Source organism: Homo sapiens, chromosome 2 (assembly GCF_000001405.40).
Source record: "Homo sapiens chromosome 2, GRCh38.p14 Primary Assembly".
Taxonomy (NCBI): domain Eukaryota; kingdom Metazoa; phylum Chordata; class Mammalia; order Primates; family Hominidae; genus Homo; species Homo sapiens.
Window position 1 is genome coordinate 42,170,273 of NC_000002.12, and position 19,285 is coordinate 42,189,557.

Sequence of the window (19,285 nt, forward strand, 5' to 3'; positions counted from 1 at the left end):
GCATCATTTGCTTAATGCAGGAAAGGAAGAGGTGCATCTGTGTTGGGGGACCCTCTTTAAGAGTGAAAGCAGAAGTGTTTTCTGGTTCTGCATACATGCTGGGGAGAAGTGATTCTGCCCAATGAATCAATAGGAAAGGGGGCCTCTATCAGGGAAGGAAAGGATTCTCCATTTTTGGAAGATGTTGTCTTTGTGGAATGGAGAAAGGGAAGAGGTTATTAAATAGGCTGAAGTGCCTTTTCAGTGTTCCTTTCACCAGATGAAGGTAATCTTCTGGCTAGGAAAATCAAAACTCCAGGCTAGTATTCGCTGCCCTAGAAGCTGAATCTGGAATTACTATTCTTCGAGGCCATTGAAATCTAGTAAAAGATTAAGTTCAACTGTTAGAATGGTGAGAGAAACAGTTTCAGCTTTGGCTGATAACGCAGTTGTGTGATACCTACTGCTGGAACTGTATTTTGAGTTTTTTATGTGCAGGTAGCTTGTATTCAGACGCCTTTCTTTTACATTTCTTGATAATAAGTCTCTACTTGGTTAATGTTCACTGATCAGTGAGCAGTCTGGCCATAGGCCGTACTATATCCAGATAATATCGAGATGAGATGGATTTTTAAAATCTAAAGTAAAAAAGTAAGTCAAAGAGCAATGGGCCTATTATAGATATTAAATAGTAAAACCTATAATTTTGGCCTTCCCTTTTTCTTGGGCAGAAAAAATTGTCGTTATATTGCTTTCAGAGTGGAAATCCTAAAATAGGAGGCAACTGAGTGTTGTGTTACTCTTTCCTCCTCAAAGGCACCTGTTGTCCATTATCTAACCTTTGATGTCTTGTAATTCCTTACTTAGGTTGGGCTCTTTTTAGAGAGACATCCATTTTTCCCTGGTTCTTTTTTAGCTCCATGCGTTGGTTTATTCACAGTAAGTGTTGGACCGAAAAACTTGTCCTATATGTCCGCTGAAGGGCTGATCTTATACTAAAGTAAAAATTGAGTGTCTTCTTAGGGGATGTTGTGGAGAGCTGTGCTATCTTTATACTGTATTGGGTCCTCATCCTGTAGGAGTGGTGAGATCACTTTAACTTCTTTCGTGTTGGCTCTAAAGATTTCTGGAGGGCTTGTTAAAGCTTCATCTTCTGTAAGTGTTTAGGAGGAGTCTTTCTCACCAGTTGGGGCACTTAATGTTTATTTTCAAACATTGATTATGCTTTGTAATAGCTTTCTTCTTTCTTAACCAGTTTATGAGGCAAGTGATACAAAAGACCGAGAGATGAAGATGAATTGCAGTTGGGGCTCACACTTTTCATAAAGAGCGTCATTGTTGACCCTAATGTTGGATTTAAAAAATTCATTTGATGCCATGCTTTGGGTGGTATGTGATGAGACTTTCCTTTAGATATGGTGTTAATCAGGAGCAGAGGAGATATGCCTATCAGAGGAACCTGCATCTGCAGAGAGGGAAGGAAATGGTTCCTGGCAGTATTTCTGGAGCTGTTCTTGATGAAGATACTTCTCAGTGGGAGCTCTGTGCTTTCTCTTTCTGTCCCCCTTGCAAGAGTAAAACTAGGCCCCATCTTAATTGAAACCTTAAAGGGGTGGGGGAGGAGTAGTGCTGGTATATTTTACTGGTAGTCTTTAAGCGGAGCTTTGCTCAGCTCTTGCCAAATTGCTTGTTTCTGTTCTCTGCAGTTAATTAGCCTAGAGCTTAGAGTTACATTGATCTTTATTTTACCATCAGGAGAGCCATGAATATAAAGGCAAGCACTTCTACTCTAGTAGGTGTTTAAAAACTTTTTTTTTTTTTAAACAAGAAGTCAAAACGTGAAGTTCTTCTGGGGTTACAACTATTGAAAGCATTTATTCTCAAGGAAGTATGTGTGTATTTCCTTTTACATATTAGATAGATTCTTGAAAAATGGTGAAAAAACTACATTTTTATAAGCAGAAAAATTGAGTACTTTATAAACAGAATAATTTTAGAGAAGAGATTATTTCAGAGAATCCTATGGTGACTCATTTTGTGAAGTGAAAACTTAAAATTCAAACTGTACCCTTGATTGTTGCATGTTTAGATAAGAAATCCACTGTGTTATGTGCATTTTATAAGATGTCTAATGGCAATTAAGACTAGGTAGTGGTTTTTTAAATCATAGGAATGATAAGTGATTGGCCATTTTATAAATGCCACATTGAAGTTACATGGTACTGATTATGTTATCTTTGTTTTACATAAAAAACAAGTGAAGAATTCTTTTAATCTCCGCAGCTGATGAATTTCAGGCAACTTGGCTGGCAGGTGCTTGTACTCTGGAATTTCCCTTAGGTATTATTAATATATCTTTTAATCCACAAATTATGGTAACTTAAGGCAGCACTTTAGAAACCTTTTTTTTTTTAAACTTAGGAGAGAAAAGTACTCAATTACCTTGATGTGTTGCCTCTAAATCACTACATATAGATACCCATGTGCAAAATGTATATACTGTATGTATATTAAATCTCAGGTCTATGTGCAAAAGTGGGAAGCTATTCATACAGCTTTTACCGATTTTTTATAAGGCAGGGATTGGGTGCATTTCATGCTTAATCTTTTTAGAATCTCTTTCATAATAGAGGTTTAATTTTAAGACTTTTATCTTGGAATTAACCTAGAGATTAGTCTGTTTTCACTTGAAAGAAACCTTATACCTAACCAGTCAGCTTTAAATTTTTCTGCCTCAAAAGTTAAACAACAAAACTTAAAATCTTCTTCCCCCTAAGAAAAATCATAGTGAATGAAATTGTTGGATTAGGATCTATAAGAAACAACATTCTGGGTACAGGTTGTAAATGTGAACAAGTATAGCAGTATGCTTCAACTTATGGACTATTCAGAAATTAGTCTTTTTAACATCACATTGTTAGAACTGTGATTTCTCATCACAGATAATAGTCTTGCTTTCTTAAAGGAACAATGCTGTATATGATTTTCACATATTAATCTAAAGCATTCCTTATTTACATGAAAATGTTTTTCATGTAATATTTGGAGAGGTTTTTTTTTTAAACTTTTTTTATTGGTTGCCTCTTGAAGAGTTCAAGATAGACTCAAGTTGTGTAACCAGACATGAGTAGTAACTCTTAAATGGTTAGTAGAGCATCTTCAACATGAGTTAGCTAGAGTGTTTTTCAACATATGTATGGATTAACATCGAACATGGGCTAGCACTATGCTTGGTGGTTCTTATGGGAAAGACAAGTAAAAGACATGCTTTTTGCCCTTTAGGAGCTTACTGCCTGGTTTTTAAATAAGTACCATGACTAGGTGCAGTGGCTCACGCCTGTAGTCCCAGCACTTTGGGAGGCTGAGGTGGAAGGATCGATTGAGCCCAGTAGTTTGAGACCAGCCTGGGCAACATAGCAAGACCCTGTCTCTGCAAAAAAAACAAAAATAGGCATAGTGGCATGTGCCTGTAACCCCAGCTACTTGGGAGGCTGAGGCAGGAGGATCACTTGAGCACAGGAGTTGAAGGTTGCAGTGAGCTATGATTGTACCACTGCACTCCACTGGGCCACAGAGCAAACCTCTGCCTCTAAAAAATAAATAAATAAATAAAGTATGTACTGTATGTAGAGATGTTTATTATTAAGCCTAAGTACCAGAAATGGGGATGAAGGGAGGAAGCACCATTTAGAATGCTGTGCTATGTTTCAAGCAAGTAACTTCTGAGAGAACATTTGTTGATTGCTAGATTTATCTCTGCAGAGCTTGGCTTTTTAAAACAATGAAATAATTTAGCAGTTTAAATTCTAGGGAGTCTTTTTCTGTCTTATGTGTAAGTTGGAATAACATGTAGCAAAATACTGTATTTTGTATGTGGGAGTCCATTTCTGTAACATGTAAAACTTCAATATTCATAAGAAATTTTAGAAAAATATTTTGATTTTTAAAATAGATTCTAATACTTGTAAAAAGTTTAGGGAAAGAATCTACTTCATCTAGTATTACCTCAGTGTGGAAGATTCCCAAATCTATAGTATATTTCTTTGTGTGTGTGTGTCTGACGGAGTCTTGCTCTGTCTCCCAGGCTGGAGTACAATGGCACGATCTCAGCTCACTGCAACCTCTGCCTCCTGGGTTCAAGCGATTCTCCTGCCTCAGCCTCCTGAGTAGCTGGGATTACAGTTGTGTACCACCACACCTGGCTAATTTTTGTATTTTTAGTAGAGACAGGTTTTCACTATGTTGGCCAGGCTGGTCTCAAACCCCTGACCTCGGGTGATGGCCACGCACCTTGGCCTCCCAAAGTTCTGGGATTACAGGTGTGAGCCACTGTGCCTGACCCTGTAGTATATTTGTATGTCGGTATATGATCTCTTGTCCTTTAGCTGTCTTAGGCTTTTATAATACCTTAATTTTGCATGCTGTATATGATTTTTAAATATTATTTTAAAGCATTCCTTATTTACAGTTTACAAAGAGCTTTTATCTCATTTAATTTGCATACTAACCTTGGGAGATAAATTATTATACTTTTATAGGTGAAAAAGGTCTAGAAAGTGGTTTTTTTTTGTTTGTTTGTTTTTTGAGACAGAGTCTTGCTCTGTTGCCCAGGCTGGAGTGCAATGGCGCGATCTCGGCTCACTGCAGCCTCCGCCTCCCGGGTTTAGGCAGTTATCTGCCTCAGCCTCCCTAGTAGCTGGGATTACAGGTGCCCGCCAGCATGTCTGGCTAATTTTTGTATTTTTAGTAGAGACGGGGTTTCACCATCTTGGCCAGGCTGGTCTTGAACTCCTGACCTTGTGTGATCCACCCACCTTGGCCTCCCTTACAGGTGTGAGCCACCGTGCCTGGCCGTGTTTTTGTTTGTTTGTTTGTTTTTGAGACGGAGTCTTGCTCTATTGCCCAGGCTGGAGTGCAGTGGCACCATGTTGGCTCACTGCAGCCTCTGCCTCCCGTGTTCAAGCTATTCTCCTGCCTCAAGCCTCCCGAGTAGCTGGGACTACAGGCACTCACCACCACACCTGGCTAATTTTTTGTATTTTTAGTAGAGATGGGGTTTCACTGTGTTAGCCAGGATGGTTGTGATCGCCTGACCTTGTTATTCGCCTGCCTCGGCCTTCCAAAGTGCTGGCATTACAGACGTGAGCCACCGCACCTGGCCAAGAGTGTGTTATTTTTTTAAAAGGTTAAGTCCAGGTTTTTTCTTTTTTTGTATGGTTGGGAGTGTTTGTATCTATATTATTTTTATTTTATTTTATTTTGTTTTTTTGAGACAGAGTTTCTGTCGCCCAGGCTGGAGTACAGTGGCACAGTCTTGGCTCACTGCAACTTCTGCCTCCTGGATTCAAGCGATTCTTGTGCCTCAGCCTCCCGAGTAGCTGAGATGACAGGTGTGCACCACCGCACCCAGCTAATTTTTGTATTTTTAATAGAGAAGAGGTTTTGCCATATTGGCCAAGCTGGTCTTGAACTGCTGTCCTCAAGTGATCCATCCACCTCAGCCTCCCAAAGTGCTGGGATTAGAGGTGTGAGTCACCATGCCCAGCATCATATTATTTTTAAATAAAACACCATAGAAAGGAAAGAAGAATAGAAAAATAAATTATCTTTAGCCCATTTGTATGCAGCTGATGTTAACATGTTAATGTACTTGTTCTTAGTCTTTTCCTATGCTTAGTTTTTTAATAGTTAAAATCATACTGCAGACATAATTTTGCATTCTGTTTTTTTCGTTGGATCCTAACCTTTTTTTTTTTTTCCCACTTGAACTCAGATTTTTCTGATGGAGTCCAGTGGTCTTTTCTCTACTCCAATACTGACTCTTTATAACCCTCAGGTACATACCTGAATCTGAACTTCTCTCCTGAATCAGCTTCTTTTCCTTATTTCCCACTGACTGTATCACCCAGTTTGAAATTTCAGAATCATGTTTTGATTCTTTGCCATTTTTGCCTAGGGCATTAGAATCTCTTCTAAGACTTGTCAATTCTTGTCACCTTTTCTCATCCCTTTTCTTTTCCACCGCTATAGTTCAGGTACTTATTATTCGATGCGTGGATTATTGCATGGCGTCGAGAATCTCCACCTGTCCAGTTTATTTTGTACAGGGCCCTCAGATTTATCTTCCTAAAGCCATGCTTTGATTGTGCTATTCACCCTCTCAGATTGCTTCATTGCTTTAATGACTACATTCAAACATCTTAGCCTCTTAACATCTTCTCAAGTCCTCTGTCATCTCTTTCTACTGTCTTACCATGTTCTGACCAAAATGACCTATTTCTTATTCCTCACATTTTCATCTTTTCATCCTGATGACTATTCTCAGTACCCTTCAAGGCTCAACTCAAATATTATTTCCTTTCTAAAAATGTTTACTTCTTTTCATTCCCAGCCCAAAGTATTCTTCCGTGAACACTTGATAGGACCACTCTTGGGGTACTTATTGCAGAATGTTTATTCCAATAGTTATAAGGTGAAAGTAATTATTACAGATCTTACAATTGTTATGTCTTATTTCCCTGAGCCAAATTGGTTTTATTTTTATTTATTTATTTTTTTATGAGACAGAGTTTTGCTTTGTCGCCCAGGCTGGAGTGCAGTGGTATGATCTCAGCTCACTGCAACCTCTGCCTCCTGGGTTCAAGGAATTCTCCTGCCTCAGCCTTCCGACTAGGTGGTGTTACAGGTGTATGCCACCACACCCAGCTAATTTTTGTATTTTTAGTAGAGACGGGTTTCACCATGTTGGCCAGGCCTGTCTCAAACTCCTGACCTCAAGTGATCTGCCCGCTGAGGCCTCCCAGAGTGCTGGGGGATTGCAGGTACCATGCCTAAGCCAAATTATAAACCTCTTGAAGGCTGTATTGAAGGTTTTATTGAAGGCTGAAACTCTCATGTGTCTTTGAAGTCTTGCAGTGGAGATTTCATGATCCAGTAAAATGTGGAGGAAATAAATTAGGGACTAGTATATAGTTGACAACTTAACAACCTTCACTTTCATACCTCTTTTTTTTTTTAAAGAAATGACATTTGAAGACCAAAAGATTGTAATACACAATCTCAGAATAAAAAATTGTAAAATTACTTTGAAAATTAAATATGGCTCACGCCTGTAATCCCAACAGTTTGGGAGGCTGAGGCGGGCGGCTCACTTGAGCTCAGGAGTTTGAGACCAGCCTGGGCAACATGGTGAGAACCCGTCTCTACCAAAAGTACAAAAAAATTAGCCAGGCATGGTGGTGCACGCCTGTGGTCCCAGATACTCGAGAGGCTGAGGTGGGAGGATTGCTGGAGCCTGGGAGGTGGAGGTTGCAGTGAGCGCAGATCACACTACTGGGCTCCAACCTGGGTGACACAGCGAGACCCCGTCTCAAACAAGCAAACAGACAAACAAAAACTCATTATGTTCTTATTTCTCATTTCACCTGAAATAAGTGAAATGTTCTAGACTTTATTGGGAATCTGATAAAGAATTCTGTGCCAGATTCTAGGGTATTTTCAAGTACAAGTCATGTGCATGACCTGTTAATGGTTTTTGAAATCAGTTTAGTCGTGGTCAGGACCAACATTAGAAAAATGAGGAGAAGAGGAAGAGATAATGTAAAATATCAGTACTTCGTGTGATATTGCTTCATGGAACATTTAATTTCAGTTACATATATTTGTCTTAGATTTCAGTGTAAAATTTCTGTTGGTCACAATCAGATGAAAGATACATTTTTAGTGGCTAATCCCTATCTTTGAGAGAATAGGTGGAAAGGTTGACATACATGAAAAGGTGGATGAACAATCAGAAGTAATCATTGCGGGCTATGTCTTTGACAAGTTTTTAGAATCTGAATATAATTAGAATATGTTTAACAGCAGCAGCAGCAGAAAGATATTTATTAGTTGTAGAATCAGTGTAATTCAGGCAAACTCAGTATGTAAAGAAGTGATTTTATAAAATTGGTAGGGCTAGGGTATGTTTACCTTGCAAATCAATTCTTTACTTTGAAAGAGAATTTTCAGGCCAGGTGGTATAGCTCACACCTATAATCCTAGCACTTTGGGAGGCCAGGGTAGGAATATCACTTGAGGCCTGGAGTTCAAGACCAGTCTGGGCAACATAGTGAGACCCTGTCTCTACCAAAAAAAAAAAACAAACAAAAATTAGCTGAACGTGGTGGTGCATGCCCAGCTCCTTGAGAGGCTGAGGTGAGAGGATCGCTTGAGCCCAGGAGGTGGAGGCTGCAGTGAGCTATGATATGCCACTGCACTCCAGCCTGGGCAGCAGAGCGAGCAGCGAGACCCTGTCTCAAATAAGAAAGAGGATTTTCCTTGTTTGTAGTGTGGTGAGTATCCCCCGTGTGGTGCCTGTCACGTGAGAGATCCCTGGGAGCCAAAAACAACAACTGCAAAAAAGAGGATTTACCATATTGCTGTATTTTATTTTTAAGCTGATCTGATGGAGTTGTCTGTGTCTTGACTGGTTCCCCACTTATTTGCTGAAATACATTTTTTCCCCAGGAAGCTGTCCCTGATTGGTACACTCAAACCATTGCACTATAGCGCTTCTAAAGTGGAGGGGGCTGAGCACTTACACCTAAGGGATCTGGGAGTGTAGGCAAAAGTTGAAATCTATTTAACTTTAAAATTTATATGATTGTTTTGCATCCATTATAATAAAGATTTGTTTAGACAGGAATCATCAATAGGTGCTAAATCTAGGGGGATATTTTGGTGAGAAGCAGGTTGTCTGCATGGTCTTAAATTTCCCCCCATATAATGCTTATTACTTGTAAGGGGGGGAAACAGTAACTCAATATGGTGGTGAAATCAGACAACACCTTGTGTGCATGATCAAAATAAATATCACCAATGGATTTGTGTGTCTCTGCATGTGATACCCAGAAAAGAGCACATCAGTTACAGTGTTTTTCAGCCATGAATTCATAGCCTGAATCTAATCATGAGGAAATTTTAAACTCCAGATGGGGAACATCCTATTTTTTAAAACGTCGGGGAGCTGGGTTTTTTTTTTTTTTTTAATATTATAAAGACAAAGTCTGTGGAAACATTCCAGACTAAAGAAGACTTAAGAGATGTGGTAACTAAATGAACTACCTGATTTTAGACTGGATCTTGTATAGAGGGGAAAATACAATAAAGGATATTATTGGATCACTTGGCAAAATTGGCATGTGGATGGTGGTAAGTATTGCATTAATGTTTATTGAACTTGGTAACTGTCTTCAGGTTATGTAAGAGAATATTTTTATTCTTAGGAAATACATACCCAAGTTTTTATGGAGAATGGTCCATGATGTTTATAGCTTATGGTTTAGGAAACAAAGGTAATACATATATGGGGGTTTTTTGTTTTGTTTTGAGATGGGGTCTCGCTCTGTCGCCCAGGCTGGGGTGCGGTGGCATGATCTTGGCTCACTGCACCCTCTGCCTCCCGGGTTCAAGCGATTATCCTGCCTCAGCCTCCCGAGTAACTGGGATTACAGGCACATGCCACCATGCCCGGCTAGTTTTGTATTTTTAGTAGAGATGGAGTTTCACTATGTTGGTCAGGCTGATCTGGAACTCTTGACCCCAAGTGATCCACCCACCTAGCCTCCCAAAGTGCTGGGATTACAGGCATGAGCCACCACACCCGGCCATATGTGTTTTATATATACACACAGATACGTGTACATATAGAGGGAGGGAGGGACAGAGCATGCATATGTGCATGTGTGTAAATAAAGCCAACGGGTAAGATGTTAATAATAGGTTAATTTGGTGAAAGCTATGTGGATATTCTTGGTACTGTTTTTGTTCTTACAGCTTTTCTGTGAGTTTGGAATCATTTTCAAATGAAAAGTTTAAAAAAATTGTATGAACTTTGCATTATACTTCATAGTATGGCATTAAAAAAAATTGGAACTATCCTGTCTTCCAGAAAATTCCAGGCAAACCCTTGAGATAAAACTGCGGCTCCAAGAATATGTTCCGTGTATGTATCATGTGGCTTCCTTTTATCCCTAAGCCTCAGTTTGAGAAACATGTCTCTGGACCAGAGGTAGCTGTGGTTCAGATTTAGCCAACAGACATATTTTGTTTGGCCCTTTTGAGTGTTTTAAAAATAGGGAGATTTCACATAACAATGTGGATGTTTGGTTTCTATTGAAAAATAGGGTGATCTTGCCACTCTGGACTTGCATTCCATTCCAGATGGTCTGTATATGTGCTAAGTGGTGTGCCAGGTGCCCTCAGTCCCTACCTTACATGCAGCTTGTTTTAGTCATTTCTTTCCTGGCCTCTATAGACCTGTCTTTGCAACCTTTACCTAGCCCAAGAGGTGATGAAAGTGCCTGTCTTCTTTACACTATAACAATTTGAGAATTAAATTGCTAAATGGATGCCCTATCACCCTCTAACATTTTAGTGTTTATTTCCTGTAAGTAAGGCTTTCTCCTACACAACCATATTACAACCAACAGAATCAGGAAATGTTGATACATTACTAATTCTCAGACCCATTCTAGTTTCACTAATTGTCTCAATAATGTCTTTTATAGCAAAAAGATCTAGTTCACAATTACATGTTGAATTTAGTTTTCATGTCTCTTTAGTCTCTTTGATATGGAACAGTTCCTTAGTCTTCCTTGGGTTTTGTCACCTTGACACTTTGGAAAGTTGCCCTCCAGTTGTTTTGTAGACTGTCCCTAAATTTGATGTTTCATCCTGATTAGATTCAAATTATGCAATTTTGGGAGAAATGCCACAGAAGTGAAGCTGTGTTTGTCTCATTGCATCCTATTAGGTGGCACACAATTTTTATTTATCCCATTACTGATGATGTCCATTCTGATCACTTGGTGTCTGCTAGACTTGCCCACAATTTTACAATTTTAGTAATTGCAAAATTATTTTTCTTGTTTTACTTGTTTTAGCTGGTAGTTGATAGCTATTTTGTAAAATGTGCTTTGAAACTATGTAAATATTCAGTTCTTCATCAGACCTTCAGTTTATTGGTTTATATCTGTATGGACTCAGGTTTCTTATTTTTTTATTTTTATTTTATTTTGTATTTGAGACAGGGTCTCACTCTATTGCCCAGACTGGAGTGCAGTGGTGCGATCACGGCTCACCGCATCCTCCACCTCCCGGACTCAAGCGATTCTCCTGCCTCAGCCTCCTGAGTAGCTGGGTTTACAGGCACACGCCACTAACACTTGGCTAATTTTTGTATTTTTCGTAGGGATGGGGTTTCACCATGTTGGCCTGGCTGGTCTCAAACTCCTGACCTCAAATGACCTACCTCAGCCTCCCAAAGTGCTGGGATTACAGGTGTGAGCCACCGCGCCTGGCCAGGTTTCATATTTTTTTGATGGGTTATAGTCCATTACTATTTATTTTGATGCTTAAATTGACCCTGTTTTGGCAAGTAGATACCCCTCTAAACTGTCTTCTTTGTTCTTTTGCCACGTTCTCATCATTCTTTGAAGACTTTCTTGTTTTGTGACACAATAAGATGATCCAGGTTCATCTTGTGCCCTTTTTGCTCCAGCCCTAGAATCAGCCATTTTTGCCAAGGAGCCCTAGTTCTTTTATGGAGAAAGGTATTTAGAAACCAAGCTCTATGTGCTAGTTGTGTTCAGTGCTGCTGGAGTCCTCGTCACAGTAGTTAAAATTAAGGAATATATTTATGTACATATGTGTGTGGCAATATATAGATATAGTTACAGCTATATTTTTACAACAGCGTAGGGTTAATTTTTGTTTCCTCCTTTTACATATAGTTACTTCCCCAACAGAAACCTGGCTTCCATTATGCTTAATGTATTTATTTATTTGATGAGTCCTCCCCTACATAATCAATCTCCTGTCTCCACTGGTTTCTTTTTTTTTTTTTTTTATGTAGAAAAATTCTTCTTTTTTTTTTTTATTATACTTTAAGTTTTAGGGTACATGTGCACATTGTGCAGGTTAGTTACATATGTATACATGTGCCATGCTGGTGCGCTGCACCCACTAACTCGTCATCTAGCATTAGGTATATCTCCCAGTGCTATCCCTCCCCCCTCCCCCCTCCACTGGTTTCTGCTTCCTTGCTTGTTCAGGTTCTGATTGAACCTGTGCTGGGCTGCCCCCTCATCTTGTGCCGACATTCTCATCCCACCAGGGCTCCAGCATCCTATGCCAGGCTGCCTTTCTCATCCACCTGGTTGTTGATACCCTGCACTAAACTGACACCCCGTACTGTGCTGCTCCTCTGCCAGAATGACCTCCTTACACACTTGCCTTGCACTGGCTGCCTTGATAGCTTTAGGACTGAACTATGGGGGAAGGGGAGACACCTAATCATTTTTAGAGAAAACAGTAGCTTTAATGAAAAAGTGGAAAACTATAGCTTTTCCACCAAATATCACAAATATTTATTTTATATCACTTCCCAAATCTTGTTTACATGTCTATTGGTCTGCTAGAGCTACCATACAAAATTACCACAGACTGGGTGGTTTAAACAACATAAACATATTTTCTCACAGTTCTGGAAGCTAGAGGTCAGAAATCAATGTTTCATCAGGTTTGATTTCTTACAACACCTTCCTCCCTAGCTTGTAGGTTGCCATCTTCTGTGTCCTCATGTGGCCTTTTCTTTGTGTGTACATATCACTGGTGCCTGTGTGTCCAGATTTCCTCTTCTTATAAGGATACCAGTTGTATTGGATGAGGCCCCCCCACAGCCCACTGCCTGTCTCTACCAAAAGTACAAAAAATTAGCCAGGCATGGTGGTGCACTCCTGTGATACCAGGTATCAGGAGGCTGAGGTGGGGAGATTGCTTGAGCCTGGGAGGTGGAGGTTGCAGTGAGCTGAGATCGCACCACTGAGCTCCAACCTGGGTGACGGAGTGGTGACTGAAACTAATTATAGCTCCCAGAATGGAAATCTAATGATTTAACAAATATTTATTAAGTAAATGCTACATGCCAGGCATTGTTTTCATACTGGGAATATGTCAGTGAACAAAACAAAAATCCCTGCTCTCATGAAGCTTGTATTATCATGAGGGGAGATAGACAATAAAGAGTTTTAATTAAATTATTCACTGTTAGGAGGTCAGTGGCTTCTGTGTAAACAATTGATGTGTACATTGTCGGTTTTAAGCACATGATCCTTTTTTCTTAGATGGTGGTGATACAACCTGTGTGGGATATGGTTATGTCAGATTATACAGAAAAGTAATCTTGGGGATACAAAACAGGTAGTTACAACATTGATAGCTGTCCTAGGACTACTTTGTTATCATACATCTTAGTCACTGTATCTGATTTTGATAGGTTTTTGGTATATGTATATGTATGTATAAAATACACATATGCTTTTTGCAGGCTTCCATTCTCAGTTCCTTTTTTTTAAATCGTTTATATTTAAGGTATAAATATAATACTGTGTATACAAGTATAAATAATATACTATGCTACCTTTATGGTTGGACATATATTTTTATTTTTAGAATTTTTTTCTTATTAAATAATCTGGCTGTATTTCAATAAAATCTTTTTTTTCAGGTTAATTATTATAGGTCACTGTTTATCAATCTGGATTCAGGACCTACATCCAGTCACTAGAGAATTCTCAGGATGCTGGGGAGGTCTTAAAACAGCTGTTTGTGGGTGGTTGTGTTGGTAGAGGCAAAATGTGGGTTGTACCACCAGGATGAGGTCACCTCTTTGACCTTCTGGCCCTCTTTCTTTCCGGACTTTAACACCTACTTTGGTACTTAAAGCAATTTGGGCTATTTGCTGTGCTCTGAAGTGTTGTTTAGTAGTAGCACCTATAAGATGGTGTTAAATGTTTTTTGAATGAGTCTGTGTCACAGCAACAAAGAAAGAGTTGTTTTCAGTAGTTTGAAAACCATTGATATGGTTTTTATCTCACTCTATTCTTACTTAACCTGTATATGGCCACCAGGTTATTCATTCTAACACACTGTTTTCTTTTTTTCATTATTATTATTATATTTTAAGTTTTAGGGTACATGTGCACAACGTGCAGGTTTGTTACATATGTATACATGTGCCATGTTGGTGTGCTGCACCCATTAGCTCGTCATTTAACATTAGGTATATCTCCTAATGCTATCCCTCCCCCCTCCCCCCACCCCACAACAGGCCCCGGTGCTAACACACCATTTTCATTGTCACTCCCTGGTTTAAGAACTTTCATCTCAAGTTTCTATGAGATAAACTCTAGTATGGTGTCCAAGTTGTCCTGCCACCTGGCTCTCACCTACCTTTCCAGCTTCACCCCTTACTGCGCCCCCTACATGGATTCCCTCTGTATCCCTTTTCTTGCTTAGTTTTTTGTGAACTGCTTTCTTCTTATACCGTTATTTATTCAATATCTCTCCTTTCTCTTACTAATTCCTGTTTATCCAAAGTAGTTTAAGTCCATCTCTTCTTTTGACCACTTTAATCCACAGGGATTTTCTGTCCTATTTTCTGAAATCTAGCACATTTGATTTTCCTTACAGAGATCAATCATATATTTGCCTTATGTTCTTAAGTCATATATAGCCCTTTAAGTATTTCATGTTTATCTTGTCTCTTCAGTTAGGAAATACATTTCTTAAGGACAAGAATGTGCCTTATACTAGGTTGAATGTATTGCCTTTTGAGTGGTAACTGCTCTCATATCCAGTGCCTAACCGCTTTGGCCGATGGGAAAACCATAGGATCAGTGGATTGATAAAATTCTCTTTAACTTTTTGTTTTTATGTAATCTAATTTTCTCTCCTTTGTGCAATGATACATCTGTGACATATTGGCAAAATCATTGGTCCCGGAATAATATAATACCTGAGCATATATTGATTTTTTTTTTCATTTTATAAAGAAACTGAGTTGAAGAGAGAGAAAGTAATTTGCTCGGGATTAGAGGTTGACAGACTACCACCTTCTGGCCAGCCTGGTCTCTTGTTCGTTCTGTCTGAGAAAATGGTTTGTACATTTTTAAGTAGTTGAAAAATAAAAATATTGTGACACGTGAAAATTATATGAAATTCAGATTTCAATATCCATAAATAAAATTGTATTGGAACACAGCCGTACTCATTGACTTAGGGATTGTCTGTAACTGCTGTCACATGACACTGGCAGCGTAGAGTAGTAGTAACAGAGACCAAATGGCCTGCAGAGCCTAAAAATCTCTGCTGTCTGGTTTTTCATAGAAAAAAGTTTTCAACCCTTGCTTAAGGTTGAAACTTGTTCAGCCTTGGGTTAAGGTTGAGCCATGATTTACTTCTAGGCAGTTAGAGAGACTTCTTTAACTATACTCTCCTGAACATAGCATGGGGTCATTGGGGAACTGCTAAGTAAATATTAATAATTGAGTATGGAGATGAGAGATGAAGGCAGGAGAGGACCATATTACTGATTATCTTCAGCGTCATGCTGAAGAGTTTGGCTTTGGGCCTGAAGCTGTTGGGGGAAACCACTAAAGGACATGTAATCAAGTTTGGATTTTAGAAAGTTTAGTTTGCTCGTACTGGGGAGAATGAATTGGAGCAGACAATATTGAAAATAGGAATATCAGTGTGGAGTTTTTGCAGTAATCTAGGAGAGACATGAAGGGCCTGAAACAGGTCTTCCCTCTGGTTTTCTTCAGTAGTGGGATAGGAGATACAGACAGATTTAAAATTAGAGGAAAAATCTACAAGACTCTGTTATGAATCAGGCACTTTATGCATATGAGTTTAAGTGTTCATAGTAACTCTGAAAGGTCATTATTTTATAATACCAATTAAAAAGGCCCCAAAAAACTGTAAGTGGGATAACTGGAGTTTGATCTTTAAAAAGTCTATGCTTTTTTACTGAACTTTGCTGTGTCTGTTTTTACCTGGGAATAATGCTGCCTACCTACTTTGGATTGAATCAGTTTTCCTATTTTCCAAATAGCTTATAATTGCCACAGAAAAATACATAGCCAAAATAAGGAGATGCCGAACTACGTTACTATGCACTTTTATTTCCCTGTATTAAGCACAGGTTTGTTCGTTCTGGATCCACAATGAATTTGATTTTTGACTTTTTGAAAGTCTTTATACTTGAAAAAAAAAAACTTTTTACTGTAAGGTAAATATTTTTAATGCCTTTAACTTGACAAACTTGCTGTATACCCTAGGGTAGATTATGGAATTTGAAAAACAACAGATAAGATAAAGACACATTCCTAAGAAATGTATGAGAAAGTGTTTTTAGAGCAAGCTTTTGAGAATCATTTTCTTTTCTTTGCTTATTAATCTCTTCCTACCTCACATCACTGACATTTTGTTTTAACCCTGGATAAGGCAGTTAGCTATTTGTGTCAGACTTCATTGGACTTATTTAAAACTGGGTATACTCTGCTCCTTTGGGGATTTGTCTGGCATTTTCATTATCAAATGCATTCTCGATAGCAAATTCTCACAGTCCTTTGTTTTAAAACAACATTAGAGCATTTCATATCTTGGTTTTAGTGAAAGAGTAGAACTACAGAGTAGTTTTCAGACTTCAAAATTTTTAAATCAGCTTTATTGAGCTGTCCTTTACATATAATAAAATGACAATTTTAGGAGTACAATGGGTCTTTAAAAAATTTATATCATTGTGTATTCACTACTACAATGAAGATACAGAACATTTTCATTACCAAAAAAATTCTCTCATGCCTCTTTGTAGTCAGCCCCTTCCCTCTACATAGACTCCAGTTCTTGGCAACTGCTGATCTGCTTTTTTCCATTGTATTTTGTCTTTTTTTTCTTCTCCTTTTTTTGGAGCGGGGGGGTGGGGGGGACAGGGTCTTGCTCTGTTGCCCAGGCTGGAGTGCAGTGGCAGGATCTCATTTTACTGTAACGTCCAATTCCTGGGCTCAAGTAATCCTCTCACTTCAGCCTCCCAAGTAGCTGGGACTATAGGCACACACCACCGTGCCCGGCTAATTTTTTTTTTTAATTTTTTGTAGAAATGGGGTTTTGCCATGTTGCCCAGGCTGGTCTTGAACTCTGGGCTCAAGTGATCTGCCTGCTTCAGCTTCCCAAAGTTCTGGGATTACAGGGGTAAGCCACCACATCCAGCGTATTTTGTCTTTTCTAGAATTTCACATGACTGGGATCTTATAATCTGTGGTCTTTTTTGTGCTTTTTACGTAGCATATTGCTTTAGAGATTCATCCATGTTGTTTGTTTCACTAGTTCGTTCCTTTTCATTGCTGAGTAATATTTCTTTGTATGAATATACCACACTTAGTTTATTGACTAGATGATGGACATTTCAGTTGCTATTAGTTTTGGCTGTTACGAATAAAGCTGCAGTGAACATTTGAGTATACATCTTCTTTCAGGCCCTAGCAACCATGAATCTGTTTTCTTTCTCTATGAATTCTCCTATTTGGTGCTCATTTTTTTTAAAAAAAAATGGTTGCCTTAAGTTTTGAGAGTATTTTATATGCTTTGGGTACAAGTCCTTTATAAAAAATGTGGTTTGCAAATATTTTCTCCCAGTCTGTGGCTTGCCCTTTCATAAACTAACAGTCTTTAGAAGAGTGAAAGTTTTTTAGTTTGATGAAATCCATTTATCAGTTTATTTTGATGTTCAACTTATTTTTTTCTTTTGTAGTTTATACTTTTTGTGTCCTACTTAAGGAATTTTTGCCTAACCCAGGGTCACAAAGATTCTTATTATTTCTTAGTTTTTGCTCTTATTTTTAGGTCGATGATCTCTTTAGAGTTAATTTTTGTATAGGGTACAAAGTCAAGTTTCGTTTATTTGCACACTGATGATTTTTGTTCCAGCACAATTGAACTAATCGGAAAGATTAGCCTTTTTCCATTGAATTACCTTGGCACCTTTGCTGAAAATCAACAGACCACATATGTGTAGATGGAGTTCTGCACTCTGTATTCTGTTATGTCAGTCTCTGTTTGTCACTAAGCAAATACCACCTTGTCTTAATTACTATAGCTGATAGTAAAGGTTTCAATTAAAATTTTTATATATTTGAAAAATAATGTAGAGGAAATGGAAAATAATGTAGAGGACCTCCTGGGCTCAGGTGATCCTCCCACTCACCTCGCGGAGTAGCTGGGACTACAGGTGCACACCACCATGCCTGGCTAATTTTTGTATTTTTTTGTTGAGAAGGGTTTTTGCCATGTTGCCCAGGCTGGTCTCAAACTCCTGGGCTGAAGTGATCCGCCAGTCTCAGCCTCTCAAAGTGCTGGGATTACAGGCCGTGAACCACTGCTCCTGGGTACTTATATTTTAGGGTTTACTTTTAAAATTACTTTTTTTTTGAGACAGAGTCTTGCTTTGTCACCCAGGCTGGAGTGCAGTGGTGCGATCTTGGCTCACTGCAGCCTCTGCCTCCTGTGTTAGCCTCCCGAGTAGCAGGGATTACAGGCACCTGCACCATGCCTGGCTAATTTTTGTGTTTTTAGTAGAGATGGAGTTTCACCATGTTGGCCAGGTTGGTCTTGAACTACTGACCTCAGGTGATCTGCCCACCTTGGCTTCCCATAGGGCTGGGATTACAGGTGTGAACCGCCATGCCCAGCCTACTTTTAAAATTACTTTCAAGGGCCAAGCATGGTGGCTTACACCTGTAATCCCAGCGCTTTGGGAGTCCAAGGCAGGAGGATCGCTTGAGCCCAGGTAGGCAGCATTATTCCCAGGTAAAAATAGACATAGCAAAATCAGTAAAAAGAGCATGGACTTTTTAAAGTTCCAACTCCAGTTATCCCACTTACAGCTTTTCTGAGCCTTTTTGTTTAAGTTTTTTAAGAGATGGGATTTCACTTTGTTGCCTAGGCTGGTCTCAAATTCCTGGGCTCAAGCAGTCCTCCCTACTCGGCCTCCCAAAGTGCTGGGATTACAGGCATGAGCCACCATGACGAACCACGAGCCTTATTTTTAAAACAGTGATAATATTTCAGAGTTACTGTGGGGAGCACCTGAAATTATATTCATGAAGTGCCTGATTTATAAGAGAGTCTTGCTGATTTTTCCTCTTTAATTTTAAATCTGTCCATGTCTCCTATCCCACTACCAAGGGAAGAGAGGAGGAGACCTGTTTCAGGCCTTTATCATGTCTCTCCTAGATTGAGTTCAAGACCAGCCTGGGCTACATAGCAAGACCATGTCTCTACTAGAGAGAAAATAAGTGAGCCAGGCGTGGTAGTGCATATCTGCAGTCCCTGTTACTTGGGAGGCCAAGACGAGAGGATTGCATGAGACCAGGAGTTCAAGGTGGCAATGAGCTGTGATCTTGCTACTGCACTCCAGGTTCTG

The 19,285-nt window shown here is 39.2% G+C and overlaps 1 protein-coding gene across 7 annotated transcripts in view; it reads left to right on the top strand.

The window, feature by feature from the left end:
• The window catches only part of EML4 (EMAP like 4), a 163,196-nt gene that overhangs the window by 920 nt on the left and 142,991 nt on the right, over window positions 1-19,285 (top strand). The gene's annotated exons all lie outside the window — the stretch shown is intronic.